Here is a 23,344-nt window from a genome sequence, read left to right as displayed (position 1 = left end):
AAAAGAAAACAAAAAAAAACACCAAACCCCCCAAACACAATGAGATACTACTACACCCAAAATGGCTAAGAATAAAAACGCAAAAGATAAGTGTTGGTGAGGATGTGGAGCAATCAGAACCCTTACACACTGCTGGGGAGAGTATAAAACTGCTGTGACCATGAAGAAAAATGGAGAAATCCTAATCTCTGGGCATCAGCCGACAGATATTTGTCAAAAGACAAGTACTAGACGTTTATATAAGCACCCTTTGTAAAAGCCTCAGAGTGGAAAGGAGCCAAAGGCTCATCAACAACGGAATGAATTTGGAATGCAGTGTATTCACACGATGAAAACCTCTCACAGCAACGAAAATGAATCATCTACAACTAAGATGACAGGATGGATGAGTCCTATGAACATAATGAGTGAAAGAAGTCAGAAACGAAGGAATTCACACTATACGGTTCCATTTATATAAAGTTGAAAGACAACTGTAACTGATCTATGGTGCTGGAAGTCGGGACAGCAGTTGCCTTTAGAGGGGCTGCAGCGATGGGAGGAAGCTGGGGGCTGCTGGTGATAACCAGTGCATTGGACTGGGTGCTGGTTACATGGGTGTGTTCAGTTTGTGAAACGGAGACAGTTATACACTTACGTGTATTTTTATATGTGTATTTTCCTTTAATTAAAAAAAACACCCAAGATATTTTTTTAGCATCTAGCATGGCTTGTGAGAACAAAAAGCAAACTACCAAGCTCGTAGAATGATGACAGTTTAACCCTAAATAACTAATTTTTTCTCTCATATCCCACATTTTTCACTTGCTTACCTGTAAAAACTTATTTAATTGATTCTTCGACTTTTCCATAAACTTTTGATCTATAGATTTGAAAGGCAGCTTGCTAAGAGAAGGCAACTGGACTTTTTTTAAAGAAGGGACGCACTGTGGGGGGAAAAAATGAAATGTTAGTATTTTGAAATTACATTTTAATCTTAAAAAAGATTTAGAATAACAATTAGAACAAAACAAATATCCTCCTCCTGTACTTGTTCCTCTGAGGTGAAAACCTACCCATCTTAATGAGGCTCGAAGAATTGGGAGGAACGGAAACTTTGATGGAAAAAACTAAAGCACATCCCCAAACCTACAGATCCCCGGGAGCTGGGAAGTCACAAGGCCAGGCTGGTACGAGGGATCTGCACACCACGCAGGGTGGCACATGATGTGACAAATGGAAACCTGGCTCACAGAAAGTTTTTCAACTAGAAGGTGTTGTGTTTTTAACATCTCTGTAAAAAGCTAAAGTTAACAATAGAAAATGGCCGGGCGTGGTGGCTCACGCCTGTAATCCCAACACTTTGGGAGGCCAAGGAAGCTGGATCACATGAGGTCAGGAGTTCAAGACCAGCCTGATCAACATGGTGAAACCCTGCCTCTACTAAAAATACAAAAAATTAGCCTGGCGTGATGGCACATGCTTGTAATCCCAGCTACTGGGGAGGCTGAGGCAGGAGAATCGTTTGAACCCAGGAGGTGGAGGCTGCAGTGAGCTGATGTTGCACCACTGCACTTGGGCCTGGGAGACAGAGTGAGACCCAGTCAAAAAAAAATAAAAAGAAAAGAAAACAATGGGAACAAAGAAAACTTGGGTTGTAGCTCTATTACTGCATTTCTTTCCTTTTTTTTTTTGAAACAGGGTCTCAGTCTGCCACCCAGGCTGAGTGCAGTGGCGTGATCATGGCTCATGGCAGCCTTGATCTCCCAGGCTCAAGCGATTCTCCCACTTCAGCCTCCCAAGTAGCTGGGACTACAAGCATGCACCACCATGCCTGGCTAATTTTTAAATTTTTTGTAGAGGCGAAGTCTATGTTGTCCAGGCCAGTCTCAAACTCCTGGATACAAGCGATCCTCCTGCCTCAGCCTCCCAAAGTGCTGGAATTACAGGCATGAGTCACCACTCCTGGCCTTATTACTGCCTCTCAGTGGCAAACTGTAGATTGTAAGTATATTAACAAAATATATTCATAGTACGAAGAGCGCACCCTTTGTGGATTAAGTCCTCCCTTCTACCAGACACTGTGCTAGAAGCATAGCATGTGTTATTTCATGCTTACAACAGCTCTGTGAAATTTCAGAGAAATGAAACAGGCAGTGAGAGTTGGAAGGGAAGACTAAAATCACTAAGTACCCAAAAAGGTACTTCCTGTCACAGCTGTCGACAGGAAGGGTTCTCACAACAGGAAAACTCACACCGTAGGAAAGGGCAGGGGTAAGAGAATAGCCCAGCCATCAGTCCACAGACGAGGAAAGATGACAAAGAGGACGGGCATGGACTTTCATGTTTGTTTCTTTTAATGCTTCCATCTAATTGTTTTGATTGTCTAAGTAAATTCTACCTTCCAAAGACATTTCATTTCAAAATTTTCCCTCAACTCTTTTTCCTCCTGTTTTGATACAAACTTTGGTTTCACAATAGTTTTTCCACAGAGAAAACAACACATTTTTCTGTAGTATCAATTTTACTCAACAACTCTGGGGAAAATTCATTGTTATACTGAGACAAATTTTTGCTTTCCACAGTGCTAAGGTGACCAAAGGCCATCTGAGAAATGTAGCATGCATGACATTCAGTTTGGGTCACTATCCTTAAAAAGCAGTTGAAGAAATTATAGTATGTAGTGATGAAAACAGGTTAAAAAATCACTCTGGAGACAAGGTTAAAGAAAAGAGACACATTTCATTCATAGAAGAGGAGTCTGAGAGGTGCCCATGAGGTTTTGTAAAGGAGCAGCGTGGCTTCAAACCGTGTTTTCAAACTTTGTTTTCCTTCCTCCTTCCTCCTTAATCTCAAGATGTAACTTTGAGACAGGCTGCGTATGTGTTTCCTTTCATTCTGAAATACAGCCTGGGCATCTGCTGTGAACCTCCACTCCCTTTCTTTCCCCATCCCGTGCTCCCATGCTTTATGCACACTGATTTACCCACATGCTTGTTAAGCGCACACCACGCTCCTTATCTGGTCATCTATTTCCTTAGAAGCTTCAAGGGCCAGATCCTGATACGGACCAGACACCTCTGGCCACAGTGGCGCCGGATGCTTCACCAGATGGAACAATAATTCAAGACGAGCCATCAGGGCAGATCACACCATCTGACACTCCCTAGACCTGCTGCCTCTTCTGCATTCCAAACCCTCTCTTTAAAATCCCCTGGGTTCCCTCCACAGTTGAAGGCTGGAAATTTTTATTTTTATTTTTTGGAATGGAATCCTGCTCTGTTGCCAAGGCTGGAGTGGAGTGATATGATCCTGACTCACTGCAACCTCCGCCTCCCAGGTTCAAGTGATTCTTTTGCCTCAGCCTCTTGAGAAACTGAGACTACAAGCGTGCACCACCACACCCAACTAATTTTTTGTATTTTTAGTAGAGATGGGGGTTTCACCATGTTGGCCTGGCTGGTCTCGAACTCCTGACCTCAAGGGACCCGCCCACTTCGGCCTTCCAAAGTGCTGGGATTACAGGCGTGAGCCAACATGCCTGGCTGAGGGTGGAAAGTTTTAGAAAGAATTTTGCCCACTCCTCCCCTTGCTAGCATGGATAGTAAAATCTCACTCTCTTTTTGTCACGCCTCACTCTTGTTATTATTATGATGGCTTCTTTCTACAAGCAGCAAGCAGCTGGACCCTTTGACAGTTATAGTTTCACCAGTATCAGTTCACGCTAAGCAAGAGAAAAATGGACCTAAATTCAAGTAGAAATAATTGAAGAACTGTTCACTGCTGGGGAAAAAAGGCAATGACCCATAGTAGAAGGAGAATTAGAGAAGATGGCAATTCCTGAGGAAAAGTAGGAAGAATAATCTAAAAGTAAGATTCCATTAATAATCTTGATTTAGCCACTATGTACATGTCCTATGACAAGTCAGTTAAGCTCTGGGATCGGTTTCCCTCCTCTCTCAAATAAAAGAATTAACCTAGATTAGTGGCTTTCAAACATTTTAACTGAAACTCACAGTAGGAAATGCATGCTACATTGCAATCCATAATGCACATACATATATACATATACATAAATAAAACTGAAACCAAAGGTCTATGAAACAATGCTCATTACTACTGCTACTACCAAAAAACACAATGATGTTTACTATGTGCCACACATTCTTATAAATGCTTTATATACATATATTCCCTTAATTCTCATAACAACCCCATAAGGTAGGCACTATTAGTATTCGTTTTCACTGATGAAAAAGAGACAAAAAGCAAGTGAGTGATAAATCCCAGGTCAGCTGGGCAAGGTGGCTCACATCTATAATCCTAGCTCTTTGTAAGGCCGAGGTGGGTGGATCACCCGAGGTCAGGAGTTCGAGACCAGCCTGGCCAACATGGTGAAACCCCGTCTCTGCTAAAAATACAAAAATTAGCCGGGTGTGGTGGCACATGCCTGTAATCCCAGCTACTCGGGAGGCTGAGGCAGGAGAATCGCTTGAACCTGGGAGGCGGAGGTTGCAGTGAGCTGACATCACGCCACTGGACTCCAGCCTGGGCGACAGAGCAGGACTCCGTCTCAAAAAATATATATATAAAAATAAATAGATAAATAAATAAATAAATTCCAGGTCACACAGCCATGAAGAGTAGAGCTGAGAGTCAGAGCTGAGCAGTCTGGTTCTAGAGGCTGTGCTCCAAGCACCGCACCTTACTGCCTCCCTTGTATATGTGATAGAATCCTCCAAGCACCGCACCTTACTGCCTCCCTTGTGTATGTGATAGAATCCTCCAAGCACCGCGCCTTAATGCCTCCCTTGTGTATGTGACAGAATCCTCCAAGCACCGCGCCTTAATGCCTCCCTTGTATATGTGATAGAATCCTCCAAGCACCGCGCCTTACTGCCTCTCTTGTGTATGTGACAGAATCCTCCAAGCACCGCACCTTACTGCCTCCCTTGTATATGTGATAGAATCCTCCAAGCACCGCACCTTACTGCCTCCCTTGTATATGTGATAGAATCCAATGCAGCTCATTCTTTCTACTGCTGCAACTCACAACTGATTTCACTACCATCAAGATATCACAATCGGCAGCTGCCAGTTGTGAGATACCTAGGTGATCCTTAGGTCTCTTCCAGCTCTAGGGTTCTCTGGCAATTTACAATGAAAATCAGACCGTTATCTGTCCTGATGGACTTAGGCTAGACTAGATGGTTTGATCTATGAGTAAATTTCCAAATGTCAGGATGAAAATGCCACTGTGCCAGTATCAACAGCAAAGGAAGAAGATTAATCAGCTTTCTTATGTGTAAAATTGAAATGAGCTCTTGTGCAGTAATTCTAGAATACTGCGTTCATGAGTATTCATACCTCACTGAGTTTCCGGTGTAAATTCTGAAACTCGCTGAGCCTTCTGGGGACCGTCCAGTTCTTAGTTTCAACTCCTCCAACTTCTTGTAGGCTTACCATGACAAAGTAACATGGCAATTGCTCACCATTCTCTTCTGTAACCTTGGGGAAAACATCAAAATCGATACTTACAAAAAGCATGGTGAATGGATGCAGAAGGAAGATCTGTAAGTGTCCCCCTAAGGAGATTTCCCTCCCCGTGATGTACCTTGCAGGATCCCTGGAACTGTGAATATTATAGATTTTATTCTAGTAACTAAGATACATTATATGGCATAGTAGACTAAAATAGGGGGATTTCCTGGGTGGGCCTAACCTAAAAGCAAAGAGTTTTTGCTAGCCAGTGATACGAAAGGAAGTCAGAAAGATTCAAATCCCAAGAAGGAAACCAGCAAGAAAACAGATATCTCAGTTCTATGACCAAAGGAACTGAATTCTGCCAACAATCTGAATAAGCTTGGAAGTGGGTTTTACTGAGTCTTCAGACAAGACTTTAGTCTGGGAAACATACTGACTTCGGCCTGTGATACAATCAGCAGGGAGCCAATGCATCCTGTGCTGGACTCCAGACCTACAGAGGTGTGACCAATAAATGGGTGTTGCTTTAAGCATGAAATGTGTTACACAGCAAAAGAAAACTATACAGCAGGCTCATCCTGTGTTACTTTGAAAAGAAATTAACAGCAAGCAAACAGCCATCAAATACATCAGAAACTCTCTCAGAGAAGGATGGGGGCACCTCCAGTTTAATTTCAGGATCCAACAAGCCCTGATTTCTATTCTCATTAAATTTTACATTGGGAGATATAATTTCCTTTACCTCCCAACTGAGATATTGTATGTGTGCATGCGTGCACACGTGCACATACACACACACTAATCCAGAATAGGCCACTACTATACTTAACATAAGAAGCTAAGAGAAAACAATAGAAAATACATTGAATTTGAGCTTGAATTAGCATCATAAATTGAATGAGAGAGAAGGAGTCAATAAGAAAGGCCAGGGAAAGAGATGAGAGGTTTACTGAGCACCCACTCTGTGAGGCAGGATTACCACCCCACTGTAAGGATAGGGAAGTAGAGGCACAGACAGGGTCCCTGACTTTCCTAGGACCACACCTCTGATGAGTCAGCTAGCACAGAATACAGGCACGTCCAGCTTGATGAAAATGCATCCTCCGCACCTTTCTGGGACTGCTTCGTGAGCTCTAGACGTCAGGTGCCCCTTTCCCATTTCCACTATCTTTTCACCAGCCAGAGTGCTTCAGCAAGCAGCAACTGACGGCCAGGGCACAGACCCTTGTGATGGTTTCCACTCCTTCCTTCCCTTTCTGCTCCCCCTAATATCTGCCTTTGGAAGATGATTTTAATACACTGTGAAGTGTCAGGGCCAGCTCTAAGCAAAACTGAGGAGGTAACAGAATTTGTATTCTGTCCTCCAGCAGCCTCTTGTAGCAGCTTTTGCCATTACATTCCCCTGAGTCCATTACCTTCCTACAGTTCCACCCAAACAGTAACTATCTGCAGTTACTGAGGGTTTCTATGTGGGAGTCTGAGGCTGGGCATGACCTTCCCTGATCCACTGCTCTCTGCCTTCCATGGAGAAATGTGTATTGTTCAGCAGCTTAGCTTAATGGGAGCACCAGCAAGTGCCAAAGACATACAGAAGGCACCTGGTTAGGCCCTCATGTACTGTGTGTCCCTTCAGGGTAGGTCTTGGAGAACATGCTTTGTTTTGCTATCCAACCTAGAGATAAATTTAAGGTCGTGAATTTTGACCCTCTCCCAACCCCTGTAAGAGTGTCAAGCCACTGGCTTGAGGGAAAGGCAGGGAAGAACAAAGATAAGCCATATTAAATACCAATGAGGACAAAAAAAAGCACTCTCTTGCTCAGGACCTTGATATTTGCTTATAATGTGGTTATGCAAATGACATTATATGACTTTCATCTCCAGGTTTCCACTTGACAGACAGTAGGGCAGGGGAGAAGGAAGTTGTCAACAGTAATGACATAAACGCCTATAAGCGTCTTTCCTCCTAAATGAAATTATTTTTATAGACAAATGAAAAGGGATACAGTATATTCTACAAACTCTTATCTCATATCCCTCAAAAAAAACAGCAAAATAATTCAAAAAACATATTCATTGAAGATTTTAGAGATACTGAAATTTAAGCAATTGAAGTTGGCAGGATGAAACTATCAGATGCACTTACATTTTTAGTTTTTCATCTCCAAGATTCAAAAAGTGCTTTCATTTCAACTCTTAATGGAAAAATAAATTGGTAATTCAAGGACATTAAAGCTGCTTTCAATTCCAGTGAACAGGAAGAACTTGCTGTTTGAAGTGGAGTGAGATCAGATCTATACCAAGCAGCCTTGTATAGTTCCCAGTCATGAGTGAACCGGAGTGAAAATTGTGGGGGAAGGAAGGTAGGACAAATATGGTCTAAAAGAATGAGTGTAAGTTTTCTACCCTCAATCTTCATTCTTCAGGATAAAATCTTTTTTAATAAAGTCAAACTTTTAAAATAAATTAAGAGGAAAAGCAGTCAAAACTACCTCTCCACTGGTGATGGAGGCTTTCCACATGCCAAGGTTTTCACACCACCAATCCGTTCTTGCCATGTGCAGCTGAAGGTCTGTGCGTTCTTTCTCTATTAGGATTATTTCATCCTTCAACTTGGAAACAATCTGCCACAGGGAAAATATCCTGGGAGTTATGAAAACACTTAAAACTATGCAATTCAGCAAAGTAGCAGGATTCAAAGTCAACACACAATAATCAGCTGTGTTTCGATACACTAACAGTGAATAATCCAAAAACAAAATTAAGAAAAAAATTCCACTTACAATAGCATTAAAAAAATTCTTAGGGATTAATGTAAACAAGGAAGCGAAATAATTCTACAATGAAAACTACAAAACACTGATGAAAGAGACTAAAGAAGACAAATATCTGGAAAGACATCCCATATTCATGGATTGGAAGAATTAATATTGCTGTCAGTACTACCAAAAGCAATCTACAGGTTCAATGCAATCCCCAACAAAATTTCAATAACTTTTTTTTGCAGAAATAAAAAAAAAATTCATTCTAAAATCCATATAGAATCTCAAGAGATCCTGAATGGCTGAAACAATTTTGAAGAGAACGAAGTTGGAGGACTCAGACTTCTTGACTTCTAAACTTACTACAAAGCTACAATAATCAAAACAGTGTGGTACTGGCTTAAAGACAGACATATAGAACAAGGGAATATAGCCCAGAAATAATATATGGTAAAGTGATTTTCAACAAGGGTGTCGAGACCATTCAATAGGGAAAGAACAGTGTTTTCAACAAATCATGTTGGGAAAATTGGACATTCACAGGCAGAAGAATGAAGCTGGATCCTTGCCACCTAACCCTATATATAACAATTAAAGTAGATCAAAGATCGAAACAAAATAGCTAAAAATTATAAAACTTACAGAATATAGGGTGCCGTGCATGGTGGCTCACAACTGTAATCCTAGCACTTTGGGAGGCTAAGGCAGGTGGATCACCTGAGGTCAGGAGTTGGAGACCAACCTGGCCAACATGGCAAAACCCTGTCACTACTAAAAATATAAAAATTAGCCAGGTGTGGTGGAGGGGGTTGGGGGCGGCGCCTATAATCCCAGTTACTCAGGAGGCTAAGGCAGGAGAATCGCTTGAACTCAGGGGTTGGAGGTTGCAGGGAGCCGAGATCGTGCCACTTCACTCCAGCCTGGGCAACAGAGTGAGACTCCGTCTCAAAAAAAAAAAAAAACACACAGAATATAGAGGGAAAGTTTCATCACATTGGATTTAGCTATGATTTCTTGGTTATGACACAAAAAGCACAGGCAACAAAAGAAGAAATAGACAAACTGGAATTCATCAAAATTAAAAACTCTGTGCATCAAAGAACACTATTGATATAGTAAAAATGCAAACCACGAAATATTTAAAAAATCTGCAAATCACCTCTCTGACAGAGGTTTCATCTCCAGATTATAGAAAACTCCTAAAACTCAACAAAACCATAAACAACCCAATTTAAAAATGCACAAAGGATTTGAATAGACATTTCTCCAAAGAGGATACACAAATGGCCAATAAGGACATGAAAGGATGCTCACCACCACTAATCATTAAAGAAATGCAAATCAGAACCAAAATAAGATACCACCTTAATAAGATAGTAGTAGGATGACTACTATCCTAATGGTTATGAAATAAGAAATATAAGATGAATTGGTTATGAAATAAGAAATATCCTAATGGTTATGAAATAAGAAAATAACGAGTGTTGGCAGGGAGGACATGGAGAGATTGGAACCCTTGTGCACTGCTAGTTGGAATGTAAAATGGTATAGATGTTGTGGTAGAGAGTTTAATGATTCCTCAAAAAATTAAAAACAGAATTAGCATAGAACCCAGCAATTCTACTACTAGGTATATACCAAAAAGAATTGGAAGCAAGATCTTTTTAAGAGGTATTTGCATACCCACATTCATTGTAACATTACTAACAATAGCCAAGAAGTGGAAGTAAATCAAGTGTCTATTGCTGGATAAATAGTTAGCAAAACAAAATGTGGTATAAACATGTAATGAAATATGATCAGCCTTAAAAAGCAATGAAATTCTAACACACGCTACCACATGGATGAACCCTGAAGACATTATTCTAAGTGAAAAAAGCCAGTCACAGAAGGACAAATGTTGTGTGATTCCACTAACATCAGGTACTTGGAGTAGTTAAATTCATAGAGATAAAAAATAGAATGATGGTTTTTCCAGAGCATGAGGGAGGGGAAAATGGGGAGGTATTGTTTAATAGTTTCAGTTTTTCATGATGAGAAAAGTTCTGGTGATGGATGGTGGTGACAGTTGCAAAACACTAAAATGCTACTGCACAGCAAAAGAAATAATCAGCAGAAATAACAGACAACCCACAGAGTGGGAAAAAAATCTTCATGATCTATACATCCAACAAAGGACTAATATCCAGAATCTACAGAAAACTCAAACAAATTAGCAAGAAAAAAATAAACAATCCCATCAAAAAGTGGGCTAAGGACACGAATAGACAATTCTGAAAAGAAGATACACAAATGGCCAACAAGCATATGAAAAAATGCTCAACATCACTAATCATCAGGGAAATGCAAATCAAAACCACAATGCGATACCACCTTACTCCTGCAAGAATGGCCATGATAAAAAAATAAAAAGATAGTAGATGTAGGAGTAGATGTGGTAAAAAGGGAACATTTTTACACCGTTGGTGGGAACGTAAACTAGTACAACCACTATGGAAAAAAGTATGGAGATTCCTTAAAGAGCTAAAAGATCTACCGTTTGATCCAGCAATCCCACTACTAGGGATCTACTCAGAGGAAAAGAAGTCATTATACAAAAAAGATACTTGCACAGCCATGTTTACAGCATCACAATTTGCAATTGCAAAAATATGGAACCAGCCCAAATGCCCATTAATCAACAAGTGGAAAATGTAGTCTGTATAGAGCACAGAATACTACTCAGCCATAAAAAGGAATGAAATAATGGCCTTCACAGCAACCTGGATGGAATTTGAGACTATTATTCTAAGTGGAGTAACTCAGGAATGGAAAACCAAACATCGTATGTTCTCACTCATAAGTGGGAGCTAAGCTATGAGGACACAAAGGCATGAGAATGATACACTGGACTTTGGGGACTTGGGAAAGGGTTGGCGGGGGATGAGGGATAAAAGACTACACACTGGGTACAATGTACACTGCTTGGGTGATAGGTATACCAAAATCTCAGAAAGCACCACTAAAAAATTTATTCATGTAACCAAACACCACCTGCTCCCTAAAAACGTATTGAAATAAAAAATAAATTTTTAGAAGTAGCTAAAATGGTAAATGTTGTTATATATACTTTACCAGAATTTACAAAAATAAATAATATCTTTTAAATGCTATGCTCGCCATCTCTTCAGATCTCTTTTATGAGAAAGCCTATAGGGTTATGTAACTCTGTAGTTTGAGGACAGCAGCTTTGCTCCAAAACTCTCCTGAATATGCAGTGTGCAAGGGCTCTTTCCTTCCTCAGAAAGCCTACAGGAAGCACTCCTTGCCTATGCCATTGTCCTGCATTTTAACATCAATAAGTACTGTGATCATTTTATTTTCATGTCTGTTTTAATTCCATAACCAGCATATTTGCTCCTTGAGGGCAGGTGTCACTCTATGTTACACTGATTCTTCACAGTGACTCGCACAGCACCATGCATTTACTCATCACTTGTGTTACTTAGATTCTTCATGGTTAATGGTTTACTCCCAATATTACCCTAGAATTGGACAGTTTGCTCCAGACTCACAAAATCTCTGTGGAGGCAAAAAACAAAAAACAAAAAAACCTAGGCAGTAAATTTCAGGAATCAAACTAAAAGGCTAATTTTACCACCCAGTAGCTAATTACACTGCTGGTACAGAGATCTGTGAGAGAAGAAGGGTTAAGCAAACCACTGGCATTCTGTGTTGAGGAGAAGTCTGCACCACTATGTCTCACAGGAAAATGATCTGATTAATAATTAGATATTTAATCCAGAAAAGTCTTACTATTACAAGATTTTGGGGGTGGGATATGTTAATTGCTAGATTGTCAAAACCTTTTTCAACATCAATCTTAAGGTTTTTTGTTTTTGTTGTGTGTGTGTGTGTGTGTGTGTGTGTGTGTGTGTGTGTGTGAGACTTTTTCACTCTATTGCCCAGGCTGGAGTGCAATGGCGTGATCTCGGCTGACTGCAACCTCCACTTCACGGGTTCAAGTGATTCTCGTGTCTCAGCCTCCCGAGTAGCTGGGATTATAGGCACCCGCCACCACGACAGGCTAATTGTTATATTTTTAGTAGAGGCGGGGTTTTACCACATTGGCCAGGCTGGTCTCAAACTTCTGACCTCAGGTCATCTGCCTGCCTTGGCCTCCCAAAGTGCTGGGATTACAGGCATGAGCCACCACTCCTGGCCAATCTTAAGTTTTTAAAAAAATTATTAATTTTTTACCAACATAAGTAAACGACAAAAGGAGGACTATGTCTTCTTCTGGAGAGAAGGATCAGCTGCCTTCCATCCTCAGAGCCCTTTCAGCCCTGTGCACAACTGCCAGAAGCAGAGTGCTCCGTGAGCAGCCTGTGGACAATCTGATTACACAGCAAATGTAGATCAGAGAGTAGAGTTCAAGTTAAGCCACAGTACCAGTGAATCGCTCCAAGTTTCTTGAGAATTCTTTCATATAATTGTAGCTAAGAATGTTTATTCCATGGTTATCAGAAGTTATTTTAAGAAAGGCTGAATAATGTCTTTCAAACAAACCAAGCAGAAAATAATTCAATGAATATTCTCTAACTCATCTTTCATACTGTTACCCATAGATGCATTTTAATTTATAATGAGATGAATCCAGAATAAATAAGACAACTGTTCTTAAAGAACATGCCATATTGCAGATACTGATTATCTGCCATGCCAGCGAATTCTGTTTATCATCTCAGACATGTTCTTGTCACTGGGAAGACTATCAGGCTTTCGAGTTCTGTATGTAGTAAATGGGAGTGACTCCACATAAGGGGGAGAATGAACTATTTCTGATGACAATCCAGGAAACCTGGCCATTTGTTTCCTTTTCAGAATACCATTAACGCTCTCTTATTTTTTATTGATTGATTGATCGATGGAGTCTTGCTGTGTCACCCAGGCTGGAAGTGCAGTGGCATGATCTTGGCTCACGCAACTTCTGCCTCCCGGGTTCAAGAGATTCTCCTGCCTCACCCTCCTGAGTAGCTGGGATTACCATGCATGCCACCATGCCTGGCTAATTTTTGTATTTTTAGTAGACACAGGGTTTCATCATGTTGGCCAGGCTGGCCTCGAGCTCCTGACCTCAAGTGATCCACCCGCCTCGGCCTCCTAAAGTGCTGGGATTACAGGTGTGAGCCACCGCGCCTAGCCACTTTTTTTTTTTTTTTTTTGAGACTATTGCCCAGTCTGGAGTGCAGTAACATGATCACGGCTCACTGCAGCCTTGACTTTCCAGATTCAAGAGATCTTCCTTTCTCAGCCTACCTAGTAGCTGGGGACTACCAGCATCCACTACCATGCTGGGCTGATTTTTTTTTTTATTTTTACTAGAAATGGGGTCTCCCTATGTTGCCCAGGCTGGTCTCAAACTCCTGGGCTCAAGCGATCCACCCATCTCGGCTTCCCAAAGATTACAGGCATGAGCCATTGTGCAGCCAGCCCATCACTAACAATTATTAAAGTGATGCTCACATTAAACTTCTTCCTACACAATTTTGTAAAAACATTACTACTAACCAAGACAACACACCTTTGCAGGACTTTCTTCCTTCTTCTTTTTTGCTTTTTCTTTGTTAAAGAAAACTCACTGTTTAACTAGACAGTAACTGGATTATAGATGAATAGATATTTTAATTGTAAATTGCTGATAGGCTCATGATACCAGTTTTTCTTACATCTTGTTTCAGGAATATTCTCCTACTATAAAAGCATTTGAATGTCCACAAAAAGAATACTAAAGAAGACTCAATAGGATTGGGCACCTGCTCACAGAAAACCCAATGTGAGTCACTGAAATTGCTTTATTCTAAGTTGCTTTCATGTTGACCGCTTGAAATCCTCAAACACACATTCAGAAAGTGCCAGAGACCAATCTGGCAGATCAAAGAGCATCAGCCATATCTATATGAGAGAAACCTCCTTGTTGAATTCTAAAGAGCAAAACACAAAGCAAAAAGCCACACCACAGCTTGGGTTTGAGAAAGGCCAATTAGTGAAATGCTGTTTACATTTTTAAACTTTCAAATTGCTGCTTTCTAGCAAAACAATGTATTTCCTGAACAATACTGTAAGGTTCCCTAAATTGCACCTGCAGCAGTTGAAAGAAAACATCTTTTTTTATTCAAAAGATTGTCCTTGAGTATTTAATTAAATTCCAGAAATGACCCTGGCACAAGAGAAAGCTTTGCCCCTTCTCCAAAGGCCCTGTAGGCAAAGCAGATGTAAAGAACAGAGTTGCTCACAGTTGAAACTGAGAAAGAACTCCAAACCATAAGAGATTAAAAACAAATGCTTTTCTAATTCTATCCTAGAAGCAAAAAAATAACAATGGAACTTGTTCATGGTTAAAATTATTTTAAAAGAAACTGACACTTCTCAACCTCAACTGAAAACTACCAAATTAGACAAATGTTAACTTTCAAAGACAACCTTGAAAGCAAAGAGTTACCTTCTTGTCAGGTTTTGGTGCATTTTGAATAGAATTTAGAGCTTGCCTTTTATATTCAAGTTTCTCATTTAGTTCTCGCAGTTTGTTTACAGCAAAACTGGCTTGTTCATTGATCTGATTGGTACCATCATCCACGGCTTCCTCACCAGCCTCATCTCTTGGGCCCTAGGGGGAGAGTCACATACCACCATATCTTATAATGATAGAAAATTCAGTAATTATTATCGGTCACGATACCCTGTTGCAAAATACTACATTCCAGTAAGGAAAGAATACTAAAGTAGAAAATTTAGACTGCTTTTTCTCAGCAAAGAGAAAAATCAAAGTCTTTGGAACCAAAGTAAATGGCGTTCAGAATTGCAAAACGGAAACATTTTATAGCTTAAAGAAAGGAGGGGAAATCCCATGCCATTATTTCCCAAGTGGTACCTCTAAGGAAATCTGCATAGAACAAGGGACGGCAACTCAGTTATCTTCCCAACTCAACCTGAATATTCTGTACCTAATGTTCAACCAAGACTGACATTTGGGTTCTTTCCAGTCTCCTATTATTAAAAACTCATGCAAGCCCCTCTAAAAGAAAATTACCATATTCCCATGAGTGAAAGTATTTTCAGTATATACTTTGTTCAGTCCTTCTCCTGATATATTCTACAAATCAATAGGTATATTATTTTACAAGTAAAATAGCATTTGAAAGTGACTTAATATTCATAAGAACTCTGTAACTTGGAAAAGTCTTGCTAGATTACCCAACAGCACATGAATTAGATTCAAGAGCAGCAACAGCAATGCAGGGCACTGCAGAGAATTGCTGAGATCTAGCTTCTGGTTTATCCTTAACTTTCTTCCAGGTTTTCTTGTTCCAGCTTTTCGTAATTGTAACAAACAGTAAATTAAAATGTTTTCAAGGAAAAATAAAGTACCAATGGTCATAGAAAAATAGGCTGTTGTCATGGGTTTTTTTGTTTGTTTTTTTGAGACAGAGTCTTACTCTGTTGCTCAGGCTGGAGTGCAGTGGCGTGATCTCAGCTCACTGCAACCTCTGCCTCCCGGGTCAAAGCCATTCTCCTGCCTCAGCCTCCCGAGTAGCTGGTACTACAGGAGCCCACCACTACGTCCAGCTAATTTTTGTATTTTTAGTAGAGACAGGGTTTCACCATGTTGGCCAGGCTGGTCTCGAACTCCTGACCTCAAGTGATCCACCTGCCTCGTCCTCCCAAAGTGCTGGAATTACAGATGTGAGCCACTGTGCCCGGCCCATATGTTCTTTTAACTGGTTGTCTATAAATAGTTATATAAAATGATATATAATTTCATACTTTGTATTCATTTGAATGGGTATTCTGCCTTCTTCATATAACGTACAATGCTGGGCATTGAGGGTATTATCATCTTCAAAAGTATCATTTTTACGTCAGCATTGTATGAGAATAATTAGAATAACAATGGCATTGAGAATTTATGAGGCGCATTCCTAATGATGCTCCTGTAATAGGTTGATTCTGCTTCATTGCTATCCCATATGTACAAAAACAAATACTATCATGCATAAACGTTTTTCTACATTTTAATTATTTTCCTAGGATAAATTTCCAAAAGTTCCCACTTCTAGAGATTATTGGAACAAAGAGTAGGAGCTCTGGAAAGGTCAGTTATGTATCAGCCCTCTTTGAATCCGAGGTGAAGGTAGACATTTCTTCCTATTTGTTTATTGTTACCTCACATCAAATGTCAGTTCACATCCTTATTCAATTTATCTGCTGAGTATAGATATTTTAATTAATTTGAATAACCTCTTTTACGGCATTTGCTGTAAAATTAACTATCTTAATTTCTGAAGTACAGAGATAACATAGATACAACAAACTGTGACCTATCAAAAATAAAATGCAATAAATAGTTTTGGACTAATCAGTTCAGTGATTTTATATGTAAAGAACCAAGTAACAAAACTTAAAAAAAAAAGAATGTATATGAAGTTCAGACAACCAACAGTTCAGAGACCTCAATTAGATGACTTCTAATACCATCAAGAGCAAGCACTTGAGTCCTCAGGGCTGGAGATAGTGAACTGGGCAGAAAGAAAAAATCCACGATAAATCATAATCTTTCTATGTAAGATGACTATAAAACAATTTGTTTCTCTTCGTACAAACCTTAAAACTCATAGGGGTCACTAACAGTAAATAAGAGGTGGTAACTGGAGCTATCCAAAATGATTGCATATGCTATAAGAAAACTAGACTTAATGTGTGGCTTAGCTAACAGAGCAGGAGCATCGCCATCTTGGACAAGCACCGCCATTTTAAAGTTTCCCTTGACCAAAAACTGCCTAAATCCAAAGGGCATCAGCCTAATGGCTAAGGTCAGCAAGATCATAAACCACAAATGCCATCTCCAACCAGAAACATTCCAACCCTAAGATAAATCCCTCCCTGACCAGAGACATGCCAGTCCCAAGACAACCTCCCCTCCAGCCAGGGAGATGTCAGCCCCAAGATAACCTCCCCTCTGACCAGAGACATTCCAACCCTGCAATAAACTTCTCCTCCACACAGAAACATTCCAAGCCTGTGATAAGCTCTCTCACCCTAAAACCAATAAATACTCTTAGTCTGCAAGAGAGAGAGTTTTCCTGACTGAAATCAGCCAGAAGCCCCTCTCAGGTTTATTCTCCAAAATAAACCTGTCTTTGACTATTGAGCCACTTTTTGTGCTTCTTTCCTTTCATTAACTCTTACATTTGATGCTGATACCCAGGATGGGTGTTGGGGATAGAGGCTCTCTCACAACCCAGGAAGCAGTGGGCAGCAGCAGCCCATCCCACTAGATCCTGAGAGTCTCTGGCCACCCACCCAGTCTTGTCTCTCACTTCACTTTTCGAGTGATTTGCGTGAGGAAGACAACTAACCTGAAGGGGACTGTGAGGCTCAGGCTGGGGCTACTCACAGGTGGGTTCTTAAAACCCTCAGGTCTCAGGAATCCACCTCTGACCGCCCACAATGGGTATTTAGCTCTCTAACCTTTGTCCCCTCCTCCTCCCTCATCCTCTCTTCTCTCTCTCTCTCTCTCTCTGTGTCTGTCTTCCTCATGCGGCTCCAATCCAAGAGGCCCTTTGCTGATTCCAACTGGAACATCCAACATCGGACACTAATCCAGCCGATTCGTAAAATCTGCCTTCCCCAGGCTTTCAAGCGGTACCCACGAAAGTCAGGTCTGCTGTCCTGATCCTCAGAGGACCAGTAGGACTAAGCTAGAAGAAATCTTGGGGATGCCCAGTTTCTTCTTAGCTTAACCGTCCTCTTTAGGAAAGAGGACGCTGGGTCTCTGTCTTTTGTCTGGGGATGCCTGGAACAAAAACAGACACCCTCGGCCTCTTCTCACCAGTCCACATGGATGCCAAACAATCCCACATTCCCACATCCTCTCCACTGAGCTGTCTCCTTCACAACCTAACCAAATTTGGCTTATAAGAAGCATAAAGCCAAAGCGTTTGGTTTTTCATTGCAACACAGCCTGGCCCCAATATAAATTAGATAATGACAACCGATGGCCTGAAAACGGCACCTTTGACTTTCAAATTCTCAGGGACCTTGACAACTTTATAACCACGAATAGCAAATGGCAAGAAGTTGTCTATATTCTTTTCTACCTTAGATCCCAACCCTCCCTATGTCAAGCTTGCACCCCTCATGAAATCCTTCTTCTTAATGAAAACCCTCCCCGGGTCTCTCCTTCCTCTGAAACTCCTTCCTTTGAAACCCCTTCCTTGGAAACCCCTTTTGAGCCTGCAGATGAACCCCCTCCGTATTCTCATTTCCCTGCATCTGCTCCTCGCCTGTTCAAACCTCCAATCTGGTGGCCCCTCCTGCCCCCAAGCCTTCAGTCCCAAATCCTGCTCCTCCTCCTTCTCTACCTGTTACCTGTTCAAAAACTACTCCAACCAGTCAATCCGCCATTCTCCCTCTCCAGGAAGCGCCTGGGGCTAAAGGCACTGCTCGCGTTCATGTCCCTTTCTCCATGTTTGATTTGTCGCAGATCAAATAGCATCTGGGATCTTTTTCTGAAAATCCCTCTCATTATCACAGGGAATTCCTACACATAACCCAATCCTTTAATTTAACTTGGCATGACATTTATATAATTCTAACCTCCACCCTCACCCCTGATAAGAAAGCGCTCAGCTTAATTAAAATGGATATCCAAGCTACGAGTATATTCAAAAGGCCTTTATGTTTTCCTCTTCATAAATCTTGTTTTCCTGAAAAAGGTTTTTTCCTAGTCAACTGAATTACTTTTTTCCACTCTGTCTTGCCACTCTTGGTGCACGTATGAAAGACCCTAAAATGACACCTGGTGGCCTGGGGCTCCTTGGGAAAACAGAAAAAGTGCCACAAATCCCGTTTTGGGAAAAAATCTGTTTTCCTTATGGAACCCCTGGAATTAGAGGTGAATAAGTACCTCTCAAAATCTGTCTTTGTCTTCCAGCTATACTTGTTTATTAGGCCCTGGAAATTGTTTTCCTAGCCCTGTTCTTAAAGGGCCTCACCCAAAGGCCAATAATCCAATTGGGAAATTAGAAAAAAAAAATCTTATAACTACTGGATCTTCTTCTGGTTGCCTGTGTGGCTATACATGTGTTGTGTGCAATGTCTATTAAAAGAACTCTAATTAATTGGCCTAAGAAAAATAAGTGCTTAAATCAAATATTTTTAAGGGAAAAGTAAAAGCTATGGGATCTTTCAGTTCACGAGACTAAAACTTACTGGTACAGTAAGATCAGAAATGTCTTAAGAACTGCCAGCATACATTTTTGTTTGCATTTATCGATCAAGCAATTTCATACTTATCTCTGCCGAATACTATAAAGTGTCAAAATTTGGCATAGAGGCTACAAAATTATAACTCAGCCCAGACAGAATAATCTTTGCTTGTGTAATTTTTTAATAAATGAAACATTAATATTGGTTTAATAAAGTTAACTACATCTTGAACTATTTAATGAAATACCCTAACTTCTAATCTGGTGGCCTTAGGCAGTCTAGTCCACAGACATGAAGGAAGTTTGTTTTGTGAAAGGACTGTTACCATCTTTGTTTCAAAGCTAAACTGTAAACCAAGTTAATAAACAAAAACAGATAAGGCCTGGGGACATGTGAAATTAGCCATACCCCCTAGCTATGCAAAAGATATTAAAGAAAAGATAATTTATATAAAAAATTATCTTATATGGTAAATTCTTGTCCTAAAGTAAATTAACTGGTTGTTTAAAGAGAGGGATGTTTACAACAAATGAGAAAGTTGAGGCATGTCAGAGATTGTCTGTGTAAGTCATGAAAAATTTTATAAAAGGGAATTCATACAACAAATGTTGTACAATTTAAAAGTGATTAAGCCTCCTGAATGCTTTATAAAATGCTACTATAACTCTTAGCTGTACAACCTGCCTGCTTTGCAGCTAGGGAAGGCCCAGGAGACATGGAGTTAAATGCTGGAGTAAGTCAGACCTTATCTGCATTTCTGTCTAGGTCCTAGGCTCTCCACCTAGTACATAATTAAAATCCCAAACTTACCAACAAAAGTAAAGGTTGCTAAAAGTTAACAGTGTAACATGTATTTAAGACTATTGAAAAAACATTTTACGTATACTTTTGGTAAAAAGATTATAAGGAGGCATAAGAATGTGGATTTTTACCTAGATTAAAAGGTTAAAGAATTGTTTTAAGTTGAATAAAATAAAAATGAAGGTTTAAGCAAGTTTTGGAAGGTTAATTGTAAAGGAAATTCCATGTGTAAACATATTGGCTAAAGTTGAAGGGGTATCATCCAGTTTTTCTGTAAATTGAGCATTAAAATAAAAGCACAACAGGTTTTTCTTAAAGCACTAACCTGCTCTTTAACAAAAATTATAAAGGGTTAAAAAGGGTCTATAAAAATCTTAACTTGTGGTCAAACATTAAAATAGGGTAAATGTGTCTACAGGTTTATTAAAAATTGAGTTTAACATTAATAGCACACTAATATAAAAGTAAAATTTGGCTTATTTGGTATAAAATCATATAGGAAGAATTGTCAAATATAAAATGGTGTTCGGCTCTCTTTGGGCTATGTTTGTATAAATAAGTTACTGGTATGTGTTCCAACGTTTTGGGAGACGCCTATAATTCTGATATATCTTAATGTATGTTATCAGTAGTAATTATAATTGTTATGTTAAAATTATTTTGTGCCACACAGGTAACAGATTTCCTTGTCAATTGTGTCTTTAACTATGGCTACCCTAAAACTTTTGGTCATCCATAAACAATTGTTGTCTTGTTTTGGTCCTCTTTAGAAGGTGGTTTTATAATCAGCTATAAAGCTCTAACAGGTGCTCTCAAATGCAGGTTTCTGATAACTTTGGAGATTGTGACATCAGAATAGAGGAAACATGTTCAGGACTCTTGAATAGCTAAAATGTTCATTAATGTCAAGCAGGACAGGAATTAACTGCACGAACTGAACTAACAGGAGACTGGAGTGACCTTTCTGACGTTTTGCTTAAAATATTGCTAATCCTTTGTTTTGCTTTTCAAAGTCAAAGTAACTTTTCTTTTGGGCTACTGACAGTTTTCAACAATTTAGTATACTCCCATGAACAAAATTTGGAGCATACTTGTTTCTCTCTACCTGACTTTCTCCAGAATTTGGAAACCATCTCTGAGTATTCTTAAGTTATGGCAATATAGTTATTTGCATAAGTGCAATAAGAATCTGTTTTCTTTTGTAACAGGACACAACTGGAAAAACTGGTTATTTTTACCCATGCTTCGACTGGAATGGTGTGCCTTCCTTTAAGGAATCAAACTTGACTTATGAAGCCAATAAAGCCCTTGGAAAACTGGCCCCATATTTTGTGTACACAGTCCCTGTACAGGGTTTCTGATCTGTGATGAGTAAAGAATGTCACTTTTTGACAGGCCAGGAACCCCAAGTTATCTTGGAATCTCAAGAGGAGAAAAATCACCCAACTCATAGTTATCTGACAGTACAAATCCATGGCTGGGCTTGGCTTTAAAAAGGTCTTATCTCAGATTCCTTCTGCAGAACAAAGTTTCATCAAAGCCAATTTAAAAGGTCTATTTAATAAATAATTCTTCTTACTGCGCTGTATGCAAATAATTAAACCAATATAATACAGCAAATCAGTCCTACCATGATTTGTCTTTTTTTTTTTTTTTTTTTGAGACGGAGTCTCACATTGTCGCCCAGGCTGGAGTGCAGTGGCACGATCTTGGCTCACTGCAACCTCTGCCTCGCGGGTTCAAGTGATTCTCCTGCCTCAGCCTCCCAAGTAGCTGGGACTACAGGCGCATGCTATCACACCCAGCTAATTTTTTGTATTTTTAGTAGAGACGGGGTTTCACTGTGTTGGCCAGGCTGGTCTCAAACTCCTGACCTCATGATCCACCCACCTCAGCCTCCTAAAGTGCTGGGATTACAGGCGTGAGCCACTGCACCTGGCGATTTGTCTTTTAATAATGGTTACTAACAGAAAATTACACATGGACCTTTCCAAACATGTGCCTCTGCCTCTCATTGGGTGAGGAATGTTGTTTCTATCTCAATCAATTGGGCCTAGTAAGAGACACTGCTGAAAAACTTAAAGAAAGGGCTAAAAAGCTAAGGGAATACCAAAATAACCAAACAGATTCTTGGTTTGGAAACAAAATCATAGCATTGGTGATCCCATTCCTGGGCTCTCTCCTAATAATATGCCTAGGACTAATGTTCTTACCCTGCCTAATTAACCTTTTTCAAAAATTTTTAAATGACAGGATTACAGCTATTTCACAGCAACTACCCAAAAACATCTACAGACGGCATTACTCTTACAGTCAATCCAAGACCAGAAAACTCTCCGTCCCCTCATCAGTAGGAAGTAGCCAGAAGGAACACGCTGCCCCTTGTCCTTTTTAAGGGTCTGGATTGACAGAGCAGGAGCATCGCCATCCTGGACAAGCACCGCCATTCTAAAGATCCCCTTGATCAAAAACCACCTAAATCCAAAGGGCATCAGCCTAATAGCTGAAGTCAGTAAGACCATAAACCACAAATGACATCTCCAACTAGAAACGTTCCAACCCTAAGATAAATCCCTCCCCGACCAGAGACAAGCCAGCCCCGAGATAACCTCCCCTCCAGCCAGAGAGATGTGAGCCCCAAGATAACCTCCCCTCTGATCGGAGACATTCCAACCTTGCAATAAACTTCTCCTCCACACAGAAACATTCCAAGCCTGTGATAAGCTCTCTCACCCTAAAACCAATAAATACTCTTTAGTCTGTAAGAGAGAGTGCTCCTGACTGAAATCGGCCAGAAGCCCCTCTCAGGTTTATTCTCCAAAATAAACCTGTCTTTCGTGTTTCTTTCCTCTTTATTTAACTCTTACATTAGGAAGTTTTCTTTTGGAGCATTTTAATTTCTTCTGCCTTCTTTAAACTCCAAAATATTTCCTTTAACTTCTCCCACATTCCCTACCTCTCCTCATTTTTTCCCCATCCCTTCTCTCTTCCAGGGCTATATAGTTCTACTGATTTTCTTAGCTGGTCTAACCCATAAATGTCCCACCCTACAGACTTTCTGCCCTCACTTTTCA

The 23,344-nt window shown here is 40.2% G+C and overlaps 1 protein-coding gene and 1 long non-coding RNA gene across 9 annotated transcripts in view, besides 4 other annotated features; one reads left to right on the top strand and one right to left on the bottom strand.

Annotated features, from left to right (window-relative positions):
* Nucleotides 1-23,344, bottom strand: part of SNX25 (sorting nexin 25) — a 174,406-nt gene that overhangs the window by 31,180 nt on the left and 119,882 nt on the right. For 7 of the 8 annotated variants that reach the window (NM_001317781.2, NM_001423234.1, NM_001378032.2 and 4 more), the window contains 4 exons: nucleotides 14,704-14,868; nucleotides 7,953-8,084; nucleotides 5,347-5,487; nucleotides 813-926 (listed from right to left, as the gene is read on the bottom strand). In NM_001317781.2, the coding sequence (NP_001304710.1) occupies nucleotides 813-926; nucleotides 5,347-5,487; nucleotides 7,953-8,084; nucleotides 14,704-14,868 (552 nt within the window). The remainder of the gene's footprint in view (nucleotides 1-812; nucleotides 927-5,346; nucleotides 5,488-7,952; nucleotides 8,085-14,703; nucleotides 14,869-23,344) is intronic. The other variant, NR_186775.1, reaches the window with a different exon arrangement.
* Nucleotides 5,159-5,278: an enhancer, noted in NCBI's record as "active region_22258". NCBI's record gives its function as "activates an Ori minimal core promoter by ATAC-STARR-seq in GM12878 lymphoblastoid cells {active_cell/tissue: GM12878}" and the evidence as "EXISTENCE:reporter gene assay evidence [ECO:0000049][PMID:35858748]".
* LOC124900827 (uncharacterized) lies at nucleotides 5,476-22,612 on the top strand. The gene is made up of 3 exons (XR_007058416.1): nucleotides 5,476-5,552; nucleotides 13,943-14,037; nucleotides 22,524-22,612. It is a non-coding gene; the product is annotated as an uncharacterized LOC124900827 (long non-coding RNA).
* Nucleotides 5,659-5,708: an enhancer, noted in NCBI's record as "active region_22257". NCBI's record gives its function as "activates an Ori minimal core promoter by ATAC-STARR-seq in GM12878 lymphoblastoid cells {active_cell/tissue: GM12878}" and the evidence as "EXISTENCE:reporter gene assay evidence [ECO:0000049][PMID:35858748]".
* Nucleotides 17,429-17,628: a silencer, noted in NCBI's record as "silent region_15853". NCBI's record gives its function as "represses an Ori minimal core promoter by ATAC-STARR-seq in GM12878 lymphoblastoid cells {active_cell/tissue: GM12878}" and the evidence as "EXISTENCE:reporter gene assay evidence [ECO:0000049][PMID:35858748]".
* Nucleotides 17,639-17,688: a silencer, noted in NCBI's record as "silent region_15852". NCBI's record gives its function as "represses an Ori minimal core promoter by ATAC-STARR-seq in GM12878 lymphoblastoid cells {active_cell/tissue: GM12878}" and the evidence as "EXISTENCE:reporter gene assay evidence [ECO:0000049][PMID:35858748]".

The sequence above is a fragment of the Homo sapiens genome, chromosome 4 (genome assembly GCF_000001405.40).
Source record: "Homo sapiens chromosome 4, GRCh38.p14 Primary Assembly".
NCBI classification, from domain to species: Eukaryota; Metazoa; Chordata; class Mammalia; order Primates; family Hominidae; genus Homo; species Homo sapiens.
This window is presented reverse-complemented; position numbering and strand designations above follow the sequence as displayed.